At 39.7% G+C, this 16,198-nt stretch overlaps 1 long non-coding RNA gene across 2 annotated transcripts in view, besides 2 other annotated features; it reads left to right on the forward strand.

The window, feature by feature from the left end:
- The window catches only part of MSC-AS1 (MSC antisense RNA 1), a 213,190-nt gene that overhangs the window by 1,468 nt on the left and 195,524 nt on the right, over positions 1-16,198 (forward strand). The window lies entirely within an intron of this gene.
- Positions 1,280-1,329: a silencer, noted in NCBI's record as "silent region_19279". NCBI's record gives its function as "represses an Ori minimal core promoter by ATAC-STARR-seq in GM12878 lymphoblastoid cells {active_cell/tissue: GM12878}" and the evidence as "EXISTENCE:reporter gene assay evidence [ECO:0000049][PMID:35858748]".
- Positions 6,927-7,016: an enhancer, noted in NCBI's record as "active region_27522". NCBI's record gives its function as "activates an Ori minimal core promoter by ATAC-STARR-seq in GM12878 lymphoblastoid cells {active_cell/tissue: GM12878}" and the evidence as "EXISTENCE:reporter gene assay evidence [ECO:0000049][PMID:35858748]".

Raw genomic sequence — 16,198 nt, forward strand, 5'->3', positions numbered from 1 at the left:
GTCTCTGCAGAGCCGAGATTTGGGCTCTGAAGCCCGACGGCCCTTCAACATGTCTGCGCAGGATAAGTGAGCTTTCGGGGAGTGAAGGGGCACATCTTGTTCCTACCGACGGTGCTTCTACCCCCAGGTAATCTTAGCAGTGGCAAAGATTACCAGACACTTAGAAACGACGGGATTCCGACCTCTGCTTGCCTGCCAGTCTTTCCAGTAGAACTCAGTTTTCAAGTTAACCATTCATGATGTATGATTGTCTACCCAAGCCTTGCTGGACAAGAGAAAAAGCAGAACAGGCAAACAACATCCAACAATGCACAAGTTACCTCTCATTTTCCTCCTCCTTTTCTTATAATATACCTTCATGGTTTACAAAAATGGTTACAATGGTTCGTTGCCTTTTCAAATAACATCTGTAACTTAATGATATTATCTCCAATTTGCAGAACTTGAAGCTGAGCCGCCTAGATAGACGTTAAGTAAAAGACCCAAACTTATTAGGCTAAGTAGAAAAAAAGATTCAAAATCCGCGTTTTGAAATTCTGGCCCGTCGGTATTCTAGTCAGCTCCGTGCCTCCGGGTCACACATCACTGGATGTTGTAGCTGGTATTTTCCACTATCTTGAGAGTTCCATGCGTGATGTGATTTTGTTTTAATACCACAATGCGTGTGTTGGAGGATCCGGCCCTAAAGCTTTGCATTATAATGTAGGGAATCCTTGCTATTGTATTTAATAGATTGTGTATTGAAGAGCGAGCTCCTGGAAGCAGAATGCTAAGTTAGCACAATCGTCCATTCAAAGTAAAAACGACAAAGGAGCACCCTGAATGATCATGTTCCATTCCAAACAAGACTAAAACATCCTGCTCTTCCACACAAGAAAACACAACAATTTTGCAGTCTCATTATTTCCTAACTCGAAGGTCATCGCAGTTCCTGGTCAGGGGATAAGTACGTCTGTGGATACGGGCCCCAGTGGTCAGAGACTGAGTGCCCGCTGTGTGCCCGTCACTGTACTCGCGGCTTGTGAGCAGCTCACTGAGTAATAAAACCCGTATGAGTTTGGCATATGGTTACCCCATTTTACAATGATGAAACTGAGTCGTCACACAGGCTTAGGTGTTCACTTGTTCTTTTCCTGAAAGTCCACAGGCTCCCAAGCTGAGCAAGGTGCAAGGGGACCTATGTGGAGTCAGTCCAGGACAGAGCTGGCAGAGATAGCTGGGCCAGCCTGGCTCCCGCCAGTTCGTACAGCAGAACAAATGCGTCCAGCTCGATGGCTGAAGTGCTGCAACAGGTGGCTGGCAGAGGCTGACTTCATCACTCAGGCATCATTCCACCTTAGTCTCCCAGGCCACGCTACCCTTAGCAGGGGCGTTTTGGGGCCGGGGGAATGTTTCACATAACCCCTCCGGCTCACCCACATTTGCAAAGGTTTTCTCCCTGTACAAGTTGTCTTTTGGTTGGGGGCAGGGGGTGGGCTGGTTCTGGGACAATGTGAATAAAAAGATCATTTGCCCTCAGCTCTCTCTAGGGTAGGGAAATGCAGGGAATATTTGACAGAGTGTAGAAATCTTTCCTGGAGCGTTTGAACTTGAACTTGACTCTAGGATCGCCTTGCCAGGTGAAGGAGAGGAGAGCGACAAAGAGGGGCAAAGAGATGGACCGAGGAGAGCCAGGCTAGCTCTCTGCAACGACTATTGATGACTTGAAGCTATCAGTATAAATATATAGTCTCACACATTAGGGGCAGGCGAATAGGTTTTTAAAATCTGAATTGTTTATACAGGTGCAGAACAAAGTCTTTCTTTAGAAAAGATTAATGGTGAGGAGAGCGCTAGATTTCTCTAAACAGTCACAAAAACTATACCCAGCCTCAACGCTGAGGAGGTCATGGCCAGTTTCTTTATTTCTTGAAGAAATGGTCTGACCCCACCAGTTCGGGCTTATTTTTCACAGCACTCGCCTTTCCCTCCCTGTCTTCTTTCTCTGTCTTCCCCTCCCTCCCTACTTCCCTCCCTTTCTCTTCTACTCCATCTCCTCACCCTCCCTCTGTTCGCTTTCAAGAAAGTCAGCTATTTTATTTTGTTTGTTTCATCATCTTTCATTTAACCTCCATTTCTTTCATTTTTGTGAAATTAAGTTATATTTTCACTTGTAACTCTGTTTTCAAGTTGCAGACTGGTAATGAAGGTTAGGAAATGTACCTTATATGCATTTTTTATAAGCATATAACTGCAGTTTGCTTTAACATGTTTGTAATATCTGGCATTTGGTCACCTCCTTCCACTTTCAAAGTGCTATTACTTTTTCTTCTCCTTGGATGATTACAACAGCTTCTCGAGCTGAACAGTGTAAGTATAACTCTCTCTTTTGAAAGCCCAGTGTTTTTCATGGTTTTGACAAGTGACATACTGAAATGAATAATACAGCCTTTATTTTTATCTTATAAACACACTGAAATCAATTCCTATTTGCTTATGCTTTACAAACTCTTAGATGTGAAACAGGTATAGACTGTTTGTGTGTACATCAATGGTCTTGAAATTCTTTAGTGACATTTAAAAAATATTCAATGGGGTGAGTAGGGCTTAAGTTGCATTATAAAACAAAATATTTAATAATTCTTTTAATATTACCTTTAATATTTCTTCATCCTGGCTTCCGTGCTTGCTGGATATATGACTTCTGGAATTTGCATTTTTTGAGCCCTAGTTTTCTAATCTATAAAATGGATTATCTCTCTGAGCGGAAGAGAAAGTATATGAGCAGTTGGCTAGGTCAGAGCCTGGTACATGGGAGAAGATCAGTAAATGCTAGTTAGTATTATGAATTGCCTTGCCCAATATCACACAGCTAGTAAAAGTTAGGGCAATGACCTGACCCAAGTTTTGTACTCCAGGGCCTATTCTGGGTTTCAGATAGTACCAGGGTCTTTCATTTGCTTTGACTACAGGCTGCTAGGGTCTGAAGTACATGGTCTCATCACATGACATTTTTCACAGGTCCCATGAGGGACTTCACTGAGGGAAAAATGGATGGGACGTCGTTAGAAATTTTCTTTTCGTCCCCCAAATTCTCTCACCCTAAAATTGCAGTGCTTTTCCAAGCCTTACTTTCCCTACTGGCATAAAGGATTAAGCCAGAAATCCTGCTGGTGGTGTGGTGTAGGTCAAAGGAGCATGCCCAGGTGGAACACAGATCAGTGCCTAACAGATTGAAACATTTAACAATGCAGGCTTGGTTTGTTTTTTAAAAAGGGAGCCATGAGATGGGATGATAATTACACATCATAGAAAAAAGGCCATTTGTTGCCACTTCCTTCCTCCAACAGCATATTAAGTAATGGGTGAGAAACTCTAGAACTGGGTAGGTCATGTGGACTTAGGACTCAGGAAGAGCAAAGGCTTCCTCTGTCCTCTGTGAAGGCCATGCCAAAACTATGTAGTGAGTAGGTACTTAAGAAACAGCAGTGGGACCAACCCACAGCCTCCTGTTGCCTGGAGGAATTGCCATACCTTCGGCCAATTGCCTATACTTTTGATCTAGGAAAATGAATAATCTAGATCAGCACTGGCCAATATGGAAGCCATTAGCCACATTAGGCTATTGAGCACTTGAAATGTGGCTATTCAGGTACTATAGTGTAAAATGCATAACCAGTATTGAAAACTTACTATGAATAAAAGAATATAAAAGCTCTCATTAATATTTTAAAATATAAATTTATGTCAATCTGTGAGGACATTTTGGATCTATTAGGTTAAATGAAATATATTACAAAAATTAATTTCACCATTTAAAATTATTATCATATGGTTACTAAAAATGTAGAATTAAATATACCGGTCCCATTATATTTCTATTGGACAACTCAGGGATTAATCTCATGGATTAACTATACCCCTATGGACTGAGTATCTACTGTTGGTTGTGGCAAGGTGTTGGTGAGACCCACTCTCACCCACTGGGAGGGCACATTCTTGTGGAAATAAGCTTCTCTGTATTATCCAGACTGCGTCTTACCACGTGTATTCAACCTCCTGTCTATAACACACCCCACCAGACACACACACGTGCTGGGAAAATGAACGCTCCTCCTCAGTGGTGTGTTAGTCACATGGAATGCTAGTCCCAGTGTGTGTTGGCCACGTGGCATGCTAGTCACATGGGGAGCCAGTCAGGTGGGGACAGGTCACGTGTAAGACCCAGGGTTAGGTCTGGATAACCCAAGGCCTGTCCCTTGTCTGCACAAAGCCTTGGGCTCTGCTCCAGGCTCAGGGCAGCCTCTGTCCTGGTGTTGTGCAGGATGCCACCACTCTTCAGACCAGGAAAGGAAGAAAACTCCCTTCACCCGGGCTCTACCAGCCATCAGGTTGGGCATCCATGGAAATAGTCAAAGCCTACATGTGGAGTCCTTTGTCATCCACAACACAAACAGGCCTCTGCTGCTGGTTTATTTATCTAAGGATTGCAGCAAGATTTTTTACCCTTCCCTCCGAAAGTCATGAGGCCTTAGCATGGAGAAGCCAGTGCCTGGATGGTTTGTGGAGGTTGAAGGTGGAAAAGCCAGGCTTAACAAATAAACAATGAAAAATGGGGCTGGGGGTAGGCTGGGGAGAGGGAAAGCGATAAGACTCAGCCTTTCAGGAGAAAAGAAAAACGCCCTCATTGATTGTCTTGACAACAAAAACTGTAGGCAGCTTCTGCAGGAAATTTTTTTTAAACAATATCTCTAGATTTTAGGGAGCAGGTGCTGAGGCTTAACTGTCCTGGGAACCCCAAGTTCCAACTGGAATGCTGTGTGTTTCCTGTAAATGACTTTGATTACTCAATTGGCCTAGTATAGAAGCCCAGCTTTCAGAAAGTGAAGGTGCTGTAGTGAAGTCTTCTGTAGGAGGCCTGTTTACATAATCCGTGGCCCTCCATGATGTTGGAGAATCCTGAAGGATGTTGGAGAATACTAACCCAGTCCTAGTCTGGGTTAGGAGTGTGGCTTGTAGGTCTGAAAATAATCTTATTTTGTAAACCCCTGGAACAGCCTTTCACTCTTATGCAGAAGCTAAGAAAGTTCTGTCTCAGGGGATTTTCTCCTTTTAAGTACTTGTGGTTTTATTGGCAATACCTGGAAATGTGAAAATACTCTGGTACCAAAACAGCCCTTGAAATTGTAGCACACAGCTCTGGTCTCCAGTGTGTGGTCCCAAGCCTACCTTGGTTTAATTGTGGAGTTAACCCGGGAGAGAAATATCATCCTGCCATGTGGCATGTACTGAAAAGAGCCCCTTTTGCTGTGGACATGAGGAGATCTCTGCATTTATCAGCTGAGAGGCCTCAGGCCACATACTTATACTCTTGTAGCTTGTTTCTCTGTGTATAACCCATGAAAGTTGCCAGAGTTAAATGAGATTGCCAGCATGCAGGCTCCTGTGGAAACTGTGGAGCATTGTAGAAGGTCAGTTATTACATTATTATGCCCATTCTCTCTCCTGTAGGAGCTCATGTTTTCCCTGTTCCCTCTCCCAGTAGCGGGCCTTGCTCAAAGTGCAACCCCCAGCCATGGCTCATCCCCTATAGAACACCAGCTAAATGCCTCCTGGTGCCAGAAGGAAGTTCTCATGTAATAGATACTTCCTGGTGTCACAGAACAAGGATTCTGTCCTCTTTGTCAACCAGTCCCTTAACCGACTCATCTATAAAAGAAGGGCCTAACTTATTTACGTATGACCTTTGTTTCCCTAGTCCCAAGCCCCTCTGACCTCCAATTCTAAAGTGAGCTCTAACAGATGATCAAAACAGGGAGGTATTTTAGGAAATATGCCCACTTCTCATAGTACTTTTTCCCCCTTTGGCTCATTTGTGCTACTCTGTCCAGTTAGCAGAAACAAACAAATAAACAAAAATAACCCAACTACATTCCTCTTCAGGTTTCAGTTTTAAAGGAGGAACCCTTGAGGATATTGGAAACAGAACTACTTAAGGTATTCTCATGCTTTGTTTCATCACTCCGTTCCTATTTCTTCTTACATTGCCACCTTTAAGCAACTTCCTCTAGGAAAGGGACCAACAAAATTAAAATAAGTAAGAGGAAAACAAAAAGATTAAATGGTAAACTTAATGAAGGCGGAGGCTGTGTCTTGTTCATAGGGATATCCCTAGTGTCTAGCAACTCATGAAAGGTACTACCTAAATATTTGATGGGCCAGGCCCAGTAGCTCATGCCTGTAATCCCAGCACTCTGGGATGACAAAGCAGGAGAATTGCTTAAGCCCAGGAGTTCAAGACCAGAGTGGGATATATAGTGAGGCCCCATTGCTACAAAAAATTTTTTAAACGTAGCCAGGCATGGGAGCACCACACGTAGCCCGAGCTACTCGGGAGACTGAGGTGTGAGTATTGCTTGAGTCTGGGAGGTCGAGACTGCAGTGAGCCATGATTGTAACACTGTACTACGTGCTGGTGACAGGGCGAGATACTCTCTCAAATTATTTTTTTTCCATTTAACAAAAATAAATATTTGATGATTGAAAACTCTCACCAACACATGAACACAAGCCCATCTGCACTCATAATTAACAGGAGACAGGTACTCAACCCATCATTTGTCCTTTATTTAACCAACTCAGTGTATTACTATGTGTTCTACCCACTGATAGCAGTTATAAGGACTCTTTTACATTTCTTATTAACTGAATGGACTTCTAAGGAATATTTCCTCTTATCAAATGGAGTATATATCTTTCTATTTATTATACACTGTGCTTGCCACAACGCCCAGAGGAAGTCTAAATAACTCAACAATTATATTTATTATAAACATCCCAGTAACATTCTTTTCTCTATATGAAAATGAAATAGTGCTTTTAGTACCATTTGCTACCATTTTTTTTCCTGATTGAAAAAATTCAGAATCTTCATAAAATTTCAGGGGATCACACACTTACAAAGCTTAGATTAAGGAGAGCAAAGGGCCAAGTTGTGGAGCCCTTAAAAGTGGTTAATGGTTTTAATAATTTAATGGTTAAGCAGAGAAGGGGAATTCAGAGAAAAAAGGCAGTAATCAGAGAGGCAAGAGGAAAACCAAGAGAGTAGTGTTACTGAAAGCAAGGGAGTCATTTCAGAAAGTCATGGGTGGGGACTTTCAGTTGAGATGGTCTGGTAAGACCACATTTTGAAGCGTCGCCTGTGCTCCAAACACATAGCAGTGAGAGCTAAAATGTGAAAAGAGAAAAACTAAAAATATTCAGCCATGTCCAAAAGCAAGGAAAATATCTCTTTAGACGAGGAGTGGACCAGAAAATGAATGTTAAGTAGGGATGAAACTCCTGCCAGGTCCAGGAGTTGAGTTTCTTTGCAGATGGGGAACAAAGTGGTCTCATAAATGGAGGGAGGCTGACTTGGATAACTGCTGAAATTAGGATGTGGGAGAGGGTAAGGAAGCAAAGGGAGTAAACCCAGCCTGGCCAGGATATTGGCTCCATGACTGGGTCAGTTCTGATTCATTTTTTATCTTCATGATATGTCACATATTCCTGCCTGTTTGCATGCCTGGTAACTTTTGGCTGGATGCCAGACACCATGAATTTTGCCCTTTGGGTACTGGGAATTTTTTGTATTCCACCAAATATTATTGATCTTTGTTCTCAGATGCAGTTGAGTTACTTGGAAATAATGATTTCTTTGGGTCTTTAAGATGTGTAGAAGGAACCAGAGCAGTGTTCCTTCTAGAGCTAATTGTCCCCCATTGCTGAGGCAAGACTCTTATAAGCACTCAACCTAATGCACTGGGAACATGAAATTTTCCAGTCTGGCTAGAACAGATATTATTCCTGGCTCTGTGTGAGTAGCTGGCTGTGTTCCCTTTCATCCTTTTTGGTGGTTCTTCCTTCAGCCTCTGGTAGTTTCCTCACATGCTCGTGATGATTGGCTGAATACTCCAAGGGCACCCTCTGCAGATCCCCAGGTTCTTTCTCTGTGCACCTCTCTTCCCTCTGCTACCCTGCCGGGTGAATTCTAGCTACTTTGGTCTGCCCAGCCTCTCAGGTCTGTCTTCTCAACTCAGGGAGTGTGTTTGGCTCTCCTGGGTCCCCTTGTCCTGCTCCACAGCGTGGAAACTCTGTCACGGCACCGGCTGGGACAGTTGTAGGGCTTCCTTTGTTTGTTTCCCATCTCTCAGGGTTCATTGTCCTTCATTACCTCCTGTAGAATGTTTTAAGAACCATGGTTTGATACATTTTGTCTGTTTTAGGGAAGTTTCAGGTAGAAAGTTAAGTCTTATCCCTGTTACGCAATCTTAGCCCCAGGTGGAAGCCTTTGGAATGGCACCTTTATAGGAAACGTATTTTATTTTATTTTTGTTTTGTTTTTAAGAGTGATACCTGCTTGAGCATGCTTGTATTTTGAGAGGAAGATACTGGAGAAAAGAAAGAGATTAAAGATATTAAAAATATGGGGAGGGGATTAAAGATATTAACATATGGGAAAAATATATTAAAAATATGGAAATAGTGATGGAGCAAATCCCACAGGAAATGGAGGCTGATGAGTTAGCCTTGAAGAAGAGGATGTACATATCTTTTTGCCTGAAATACTGTAGGATGTCTCTGTAGATCAGTAGAGATTTGTAATGGGAAGTTAAAGAAGTTAGTCCCTGATGGTCTCTGTTTTCTCAGTGGAATATGAATTAAAGTTGTCTACATAGAATAGGTGGGTAGACATGAGTTACTAGAATCAACAGAAATGGGAAATGTGGGGAATAACCATTCTGGAGAATATAAAAAGAGTCTAAGTAGGGGTAAGGAAATGTATTTCAAAACAGTGTTAAGGGCTTTGATGACATTGACTGATGAGCACTTATACCCATTAACAAATGTGAAGTTATCTAGCACAGTGATTCACATGGAGTGGTTTTCAGCTAGAAATAGCTGAATCTTAACAAATTAACCTGTTTATATTTTCAATAGCAAGAACTTGCAAGAATGAACTATTTATGGGACCATTAAGTTTTGATGAGGTAGAGATGCAATTTAGGAACTTGGAGTTCAGGGGAAATACTCTTGGAGATTTAGATGAAGATTCTACAGTTGGGGACCCATGGTATGCAGGAGGGAGGCAAAATGAAGCCATACTTTTAACTCTTTGGGGTAGGTGGAGAGGGAAGGATTTGCAAAGTTGCAGTATCACTATATTGCAGAAATGTTGGGGGTGCCACTGACAGAATATAATATGGAGTGATCTATATATTTCTCAGATCTTTCAGTTGTGCGTTATCTATGTAAAATGGACTTAACGACAAAATACATGAATGCATGCATACACACAGACATACATGCAAACTATTTTTCAAAACTTAGGCTCTCTGGAGATATTAGCAGATTTCTTTCAACATATTCCATAGGCATTTGGAACACAGCAAATTTAGGGTATTTTAAATCAATAATAAACTTATGATTTCTTCATTTTTGCTATAGGGAACTCATTAACATGTAGTTTAACAGGGAGAAAAAGCAGAGTATGTCAGATTGCACCCCCATACCCTTATATTCTCATTTTAAACATTAATATCCCCCATATTTTACAGATAAAGATATTGGAGTTAAGAGAGATGAAGTTCCTTGCTGAAGAATACAAAGATAATTGAAGAGGAACTCAGATGTCTAGAATGAGAGTCTAGTGCTCTTGTTGCTATATCATGTCCATTATGGTTAATTTTATGTCTCACCTTGGCTAGGCCATTGTACCCAGATAGTTGCACAAACAGTATTCTAGATTTTTCTGTGGAGTTTTTTTTTTTTTTTGTATGAGATATAAATTTAAATCACTAGACTTGGAGTAAAGAAGATTGCCTGCCGTAATATGAGTGGGTCTCATCCAATCAGATGAAGGCCGTAATAGAAAATGACTCACCTTCTAGGAAGAAGAGGGCATTTTGCCAGCAGACTGCTTTCAGACTAGAACGCAGCTCTTCTCTGGTCTCCATCCTGCCAGGCTACCCTCCAGAGTTTAGACTTGCCATCTTCCACAATCGTGTGAGCCAATTCCTTAAAATAAGTCTCTCTCTGTCCTCTCCTCTCTGACACACACACACACACACACACACCCCTTATTCATTGTGTTTCTCTAGAGTATCCTTACTAATACAATGTTCTTGGACAATGCATGTGAAATACTAGAGAATTTAATAAGCAGGCTAAGCTACAATGCCAGGCACTCTGTGCTTAACTCCAGAGTATTTAAAGTGATAGTAAATCTTCTAGTTCTTGATATTTAGCATTCGTTTTAGAAGTCATAGAAAAATAAGCTTGACCAGGGAGGAAAATGTTACAAGTAACTTTTATACTTACTTGTGACACAAAACACATTAACTTTTTATATTTAATTCTAATGTTTATACTACTTGGTTGAAAAATACTAATTTTAATTATAGTATTTTTGCTTTGATAATCATTGAACCTTTCTTTTAATTGAAATATAATTCTCATACCACAAAGTTCATACTTTAAAGATGTGCAGTTAAGTGATTTCTAAGTATATTCAAAAAGGTTGTGCAACCATCACCACTCTGTAATTCCTAAACATTTGTATCATCCCCAAACAAAACCCCATAACCATTAGCAGTCATTTCCCGTTTCTCCCTCTTCCAGATCCCCTGGCAACCACTAGTTTATCTGTCTTTGTAGATTCATCTGTTCTGGACATACTACATATATAATAATATTCCATTGAAAAACTTTCTATATAATAAGCCACAGACTTTTAATGCCTTGTTTCTTTTACTAAGCATAATGTTTTTTAAGGTTCATTCATATTTTAGCTTGCTTTTGTATTTCAATTTTATGTGACTGAATTAATATTTCATTATATATAATTATATATAACATACATATAATGATATATATATATACACACACCAAATTGTAATTATTTATTTATCAATTTATGGGCACCTGGGATATGTCCAATCTTTGGCTATTATGAATAATGCTGCTATGAATATTCATGTACAAGTTTATTGTGAACATATGTTTTCAACTGTCTTGGGTATATACCTAATAGTGGAAATGCTGGGTCGTATAGTAACTCTATGGTTAACTATTTGATAATCTATCAGACTATTTTCCAAAGTGGCTATACCATTTTACATTCTCAGCAGCAATGTAGTCTCTCCACATCCTTACCAATACTTGTTATTGTTCTTTGTTTTGATTATAATCATCGTACTGGGTGTGAAAGTTATATCTTATAGTGGTTTTGATTTGCATTTCCCTAACAGCTAATGAAGTTCAGCATCTTTCAATGTACTTGTTGTATATTTATCTATCTTCTTTGCAGAAAAGTCTATTTAGATATTTTTCATTTTTAAATTAAATTTTTTGTCCTGTTGTTGTTGAGTTATAAATGTCATTTATTATTTGTTGAATGTTTCCTCCAAATTGTATATGTCACAAACTTAATCCACAATGTGGCAGTATTGAAAGGGCCTTTAAGAGGTAATTGGATCTTGAAAGCACAGCTTTCATGAATGGATTAATCTATTCATGGATTAATAGATGAATGGGATAATGGGTTAATGGGCATGGAACTGGTGGCTTTGTAAGAAGAGGAAGAGAGACCTGAGCAAGGTTCAGCCCCATCACTATGTGATTCCAGGCCTCAAGATTCTTCAGAGTTCCCATTAGCAAGAAGGCTCTCACCAGATGTGGCCCCTTGACTCTGGACATCTCAGCCTTCATAACTATAAGAAATAAATTCCTTTTCTTCACAAATTACCCAGTTTCAGGTATTCTGTAATGAGCAGCAGAAAATGCACTAAAATACTCCCTCAGTTTTTGTTAATATAAGGATGTCTTAATTTCTTACTTAATTTTGAAGGATAGTGTGCTGAAATAGGATTATTGGTTGAAAATTTTTTTCTCTCAGCACTTTGAATATATTGCCCCACTGCCTTCTGGCCTTTAAAGTTTCTGATGGGAAATATGCAGGTGGTTTTATTGAGGATCCTTTGTAAATGATGAGATCCTTCTGTCTTGCTGCTTTCAGGATTCTCTCGTCTTTCTCTCAAAAGTTGTATTATTATGTGTCTTGGTGTGGATCTCTTTTAGTTCATCTTACTTGGAGTTTGTTGAGTTTTTTAGATGTTTGTATTCATTTATTTCATCCCATATGGGAACTTTTCAGCCATTATTTCTATAAATATTCTCTCTTTCCCATTCTCCATTCTCCTTATAGAAATCCCAGAATACATGTATTCTGTTTGATGTTGTCCCCCAGATCCCTTAGGCTCTGCTCACTTTTCTTTAAGCATTCTTTTTTCTTTTTCTTTTTAAGAGACAGTTTCACTCCGCCTCCTAGGCTGGAGTGCTGTGGCATGATTATACCTTACAACAGCCTCAAACTCCTGGGATCAAGCAGTTCTCCCACTTCAGCCTCCCTAGTAGCTAGGACTACAGGCATGTGCCACCATGTTCAGCTAATTTTTAAAATTATCTATAGAGGTAGGGTCTCACTAAGCTGCTCAGGCTGATCTCAAACTCCTGATCTCAAGGGCTCTTCCTGTTTTGAAGTGCTGGGATTACAGACATGAGCCACTGTGCCCTGTTTAAACTTTTTTTCTTTTGTTCCTCAGATGAAGTTGATTTCCATTGTCCTATCTTCACTGATTTTTTTTTCTGCCTGCTCAAATCTGCCTTTGAATCCCTCTAGTGAATTTTTTTTTTTTACTTTAGTTATTATACCTTTTAGCTCCAGAATTTCTCTTTGTTTTCTTTTTAGGTTTTCTATCTCATTGTTGGTATTGCGATTTCCCCATAAGAAATGTATTACTTGTATTACTTAGGTTTTTTGTTTGCCATGTTTTCATTTTCTTCCATAAAGGTATTTTCTAATTTTCTTTGTGATTTCTTTACTGACCCATGGGTTTTTAAATGATTGTGTTGTTTAATTTCCATAAATTTGTGAATTCCCCAAATGTATTTCTCTTACTGGATAAGTATTTTGTATTATTTCAGTCCTTTTAAATTTACTGAGATTTGTTTTATGGCCTAGAATAGGGCCTATCCTAGGGAATGTTCTGTGTATACTTGAGAAAAATGTATATCCTACTGCTGTGGGGTAGAGTGTTCCTCCAATGCCTGAAAGGTCTGCTTAATTTATGGCTTCCACTGTGATTGTAAGCTGTCAGTTTTCAAGGCTACTATGGAGCTGGAAGAGAAGAAGGGAATGGGAGTAGGACAAGTTAAAACACAGCAAAGCTTACTGTTCTTACTGATATTCAGCTGTTTTTCTTCAAAAAAAAAATACCCAGATTGCTGCAGAACTTTGGCTAATTTCTAGCATTCTGAAAATGTTGATTCTGATAATTTTGTGAGTTTTCTCATTGCTTTCATGGGGAAGATTATTTTCGCAAGTCTGTCATTTTTGCGGACATCACCTTGTCTTCCACTGAATCTTGATGTATATTTTATATATCATGAGGTCCAATTAAAAGAGCAGTAAATTAAGTACCAGTTCTCTACGTGTAGGAAGGAGAATGTTAAGAAGTTTCACATATGTTAAGAAGCTCCATATTTAGTCTTTTCTGAAGTTTCCAATTTTCACTGGCACAAGAATGAGGCAGAGCAGAGGAACCACTGGGATTCAGCAAGATTAGCTTCACATTGCTTGTCTACCACATTCTCCTATGTAAACCACACTCCTGTGCATTTATATTCTTGTCTCTCCATCTTCCTCAATAGCTTGTTTCTGACTAGTCTTTCCATGACAGAGGCTGAGTCATTCCCTTGAGAGAATCTGGCCTAAGAACAGCTGTGTCTGAAAGGCTTTCCTTCTGTATGCAAAAGGAAAAGCTAATTAGAGGGAGGGGTGGGTTTAACTGTTTGTATCTAGGATGATGACAGGTTGATATCTTCTAATCCTTTTGTAAAACAGTTTTTAGATCAATAAAAATAAATAGAATGTATTTAGTTTCTTTATTCTTATCCTTTTAGTACTTTCACATAAAAAACACAAGCCTCCCACTACGACCAAGTAGAAGTAGTCAATTAGCATATATTCTGTCAATGAATTCTGTGATGAACCCAGTTAATTTAACTCTTTAAGCAAGGACATAGTGAGTACCTAGTATGGACTAGGCATATGATTAAATTTCTGCTGCCATTCTCCCAGAATTTCAGAACTCTCCCATTCCTCCTATATCCTGCTTGTGAACCGACTATAGAATTAGCTTTATTTTTACTGTCCCTTACTTCATTCATAAACACAGGACAAAGTGATCCAGATGTCATACAAAAATCAATATTGTTTCTCTCTCCCCTTCTTTCAAACTCTCACTCTCTTTTTCTCTCTTTCACACACAGTGAAATGAAAAAACTACCTAAAAATAAGAAATGTTAGGTGAAGATAGTTTTTTTTTAGCTCACACCACTTCCTAGTCTTAGATAGGGCAACTAGAGAATGGCCATCTGTTATTTCTTTCTCTTCTTCATTGGCCTTGCTCACCATACAGAGACATGTTCCAACACTACTTTGAGATATTAAGATTGTGGGGAAATTTTCCTTTTGAAAGAGTTTACCTCTATATCAAATATGTGCAAGATATAATTTTCAAAATTATTTTATCAATTTACTTTGTAGAGTTCAGAATATCCTGGTTTAGTATTGGATTGCCAAGATTGATATCCAAGGTTTGCCTATTTACTTATTTCATCTTTGTATATAAGCCAAAATATTCTATATGCAGCTTGATACTCCCAGTTATGTGGGGGAGGGTGGGAACACTGACAGCTGCCCAGAACTGCTGCAGGGGTGGACGACTGGATGCAGGTGCACAGACTATCTCAATTTGACAGGCTTTAAGGCTTACATTATCTCTAGTGATATCCAATATCCTGTACAATGAGGTCCATAAAAACAACAGAAGCAACACAGTTATACATATTCACCAGAGCATATACCACCACAATATTTACTCAGAGCTACACAAAGATAATGTGTAATTTTTGTGATCATTAAGTTTACAGTGTCACAGCAGGTTAGAAATTAAATCATGCATCTGACATTACGATACTTTGTTAACTGCGGTTTTCTTTTTTGTCTATACTCTGTATACTACATAAAGATTAGAAGTCTTAAGTTTTCACAACAATTTCTTGCCAGAGGAGTGCAAATAAGTGCTGGAGGAATTATTTCTCTGGTTATATTTTGAAGCTGTAGAATGTTAGTGTGTCTCTCATTTTGAGATTCTATTCTCAGTGTATGCTGATCTAGTCCTGTTCTGCAACTAACTAGATCATGGACAAGTCTCTTGACCTCTGTATCTCTATTTCCTTGAATTTAATTGAATTAGTATTTCCTGCCCTGGAAGTTATCACAAGGTGGTTTTGAGAATGAAGTGATAAGAATGCATGTGAAAGTAATTTGGAAATGACTATTAGAGGTAGATAAGAGTGAAAACTTACCTCTCCTCCTTGCTAGGTTCTAACCTACAGAGAGAAGTACTAGTCAAATGGGGGCTCAAATTATCATCTTTTTAGGCAAAGAAGTAGTCAATAGAATTCAGGGATCCGAGAAAAGTAGATTAGAGAATGTGACTTAGATCTAAGTCCAAAAGTAGGTCCCCTTCCCCCTAGTCCAGAGAAAAACCTCTGTATTTTCAAAGTAAGTCAAGGGTTCTGTGCAGCCTTCCAGTCCACCTATGGCAAGTTCAAGGACTGCTTCTGAAAGGCAGGAGGAACTGGAATGCAGAGAGAACAGCATACCTCCCCACTGAGCTGAGCAAGCCCTCCCAAGGTGGGTTAGTACTCAGAGACATGAAATGCAAAGGTGTGCACCAGGGAAGGAGAGGGATCTTACTGCATGAGCACAAGACCATCAAAAAGAATTATATTTTGTGCTACCAGTGAGCAGTACCCTGTAATCCCATCAAGTAGGGAAATAGGCTCTAGTGGAAGTGAAGCTCTTACCAAACAGATTAGCACCTCCCTTTCTTGTGAGGAGGAACAAGCAGAAGAAAGAGACTGGAGTGATGACTTCATTGCTTTCTGGAAGAGATTGGGAGCTTCCCCCTCTATGTATGAATGTGTGAAGAAGAGCAAGAGTCCTCCTCCCACACAACCATTGGAATGAGGTATGCAAATAAGTATGCAAATAGGGTTTGCTTTATAGGGTTTGTCTCAGTGAAAAGTCCAAAGAAATTGGTTATAGAAG

This window comes from Homo sapiens, chromosome 8 (genome assembly GCF_000001405.40).
Source record: "Homo sapiens chromosome 8, GRCh38.p14 Primary Assembly".
Classification (NCBI taxonomy): domain Eukaryota; kingdom Metazoa; phylum Chordata; class Mammalia; order Primates; family Hominidae; genus Homo; species Homo sapiens.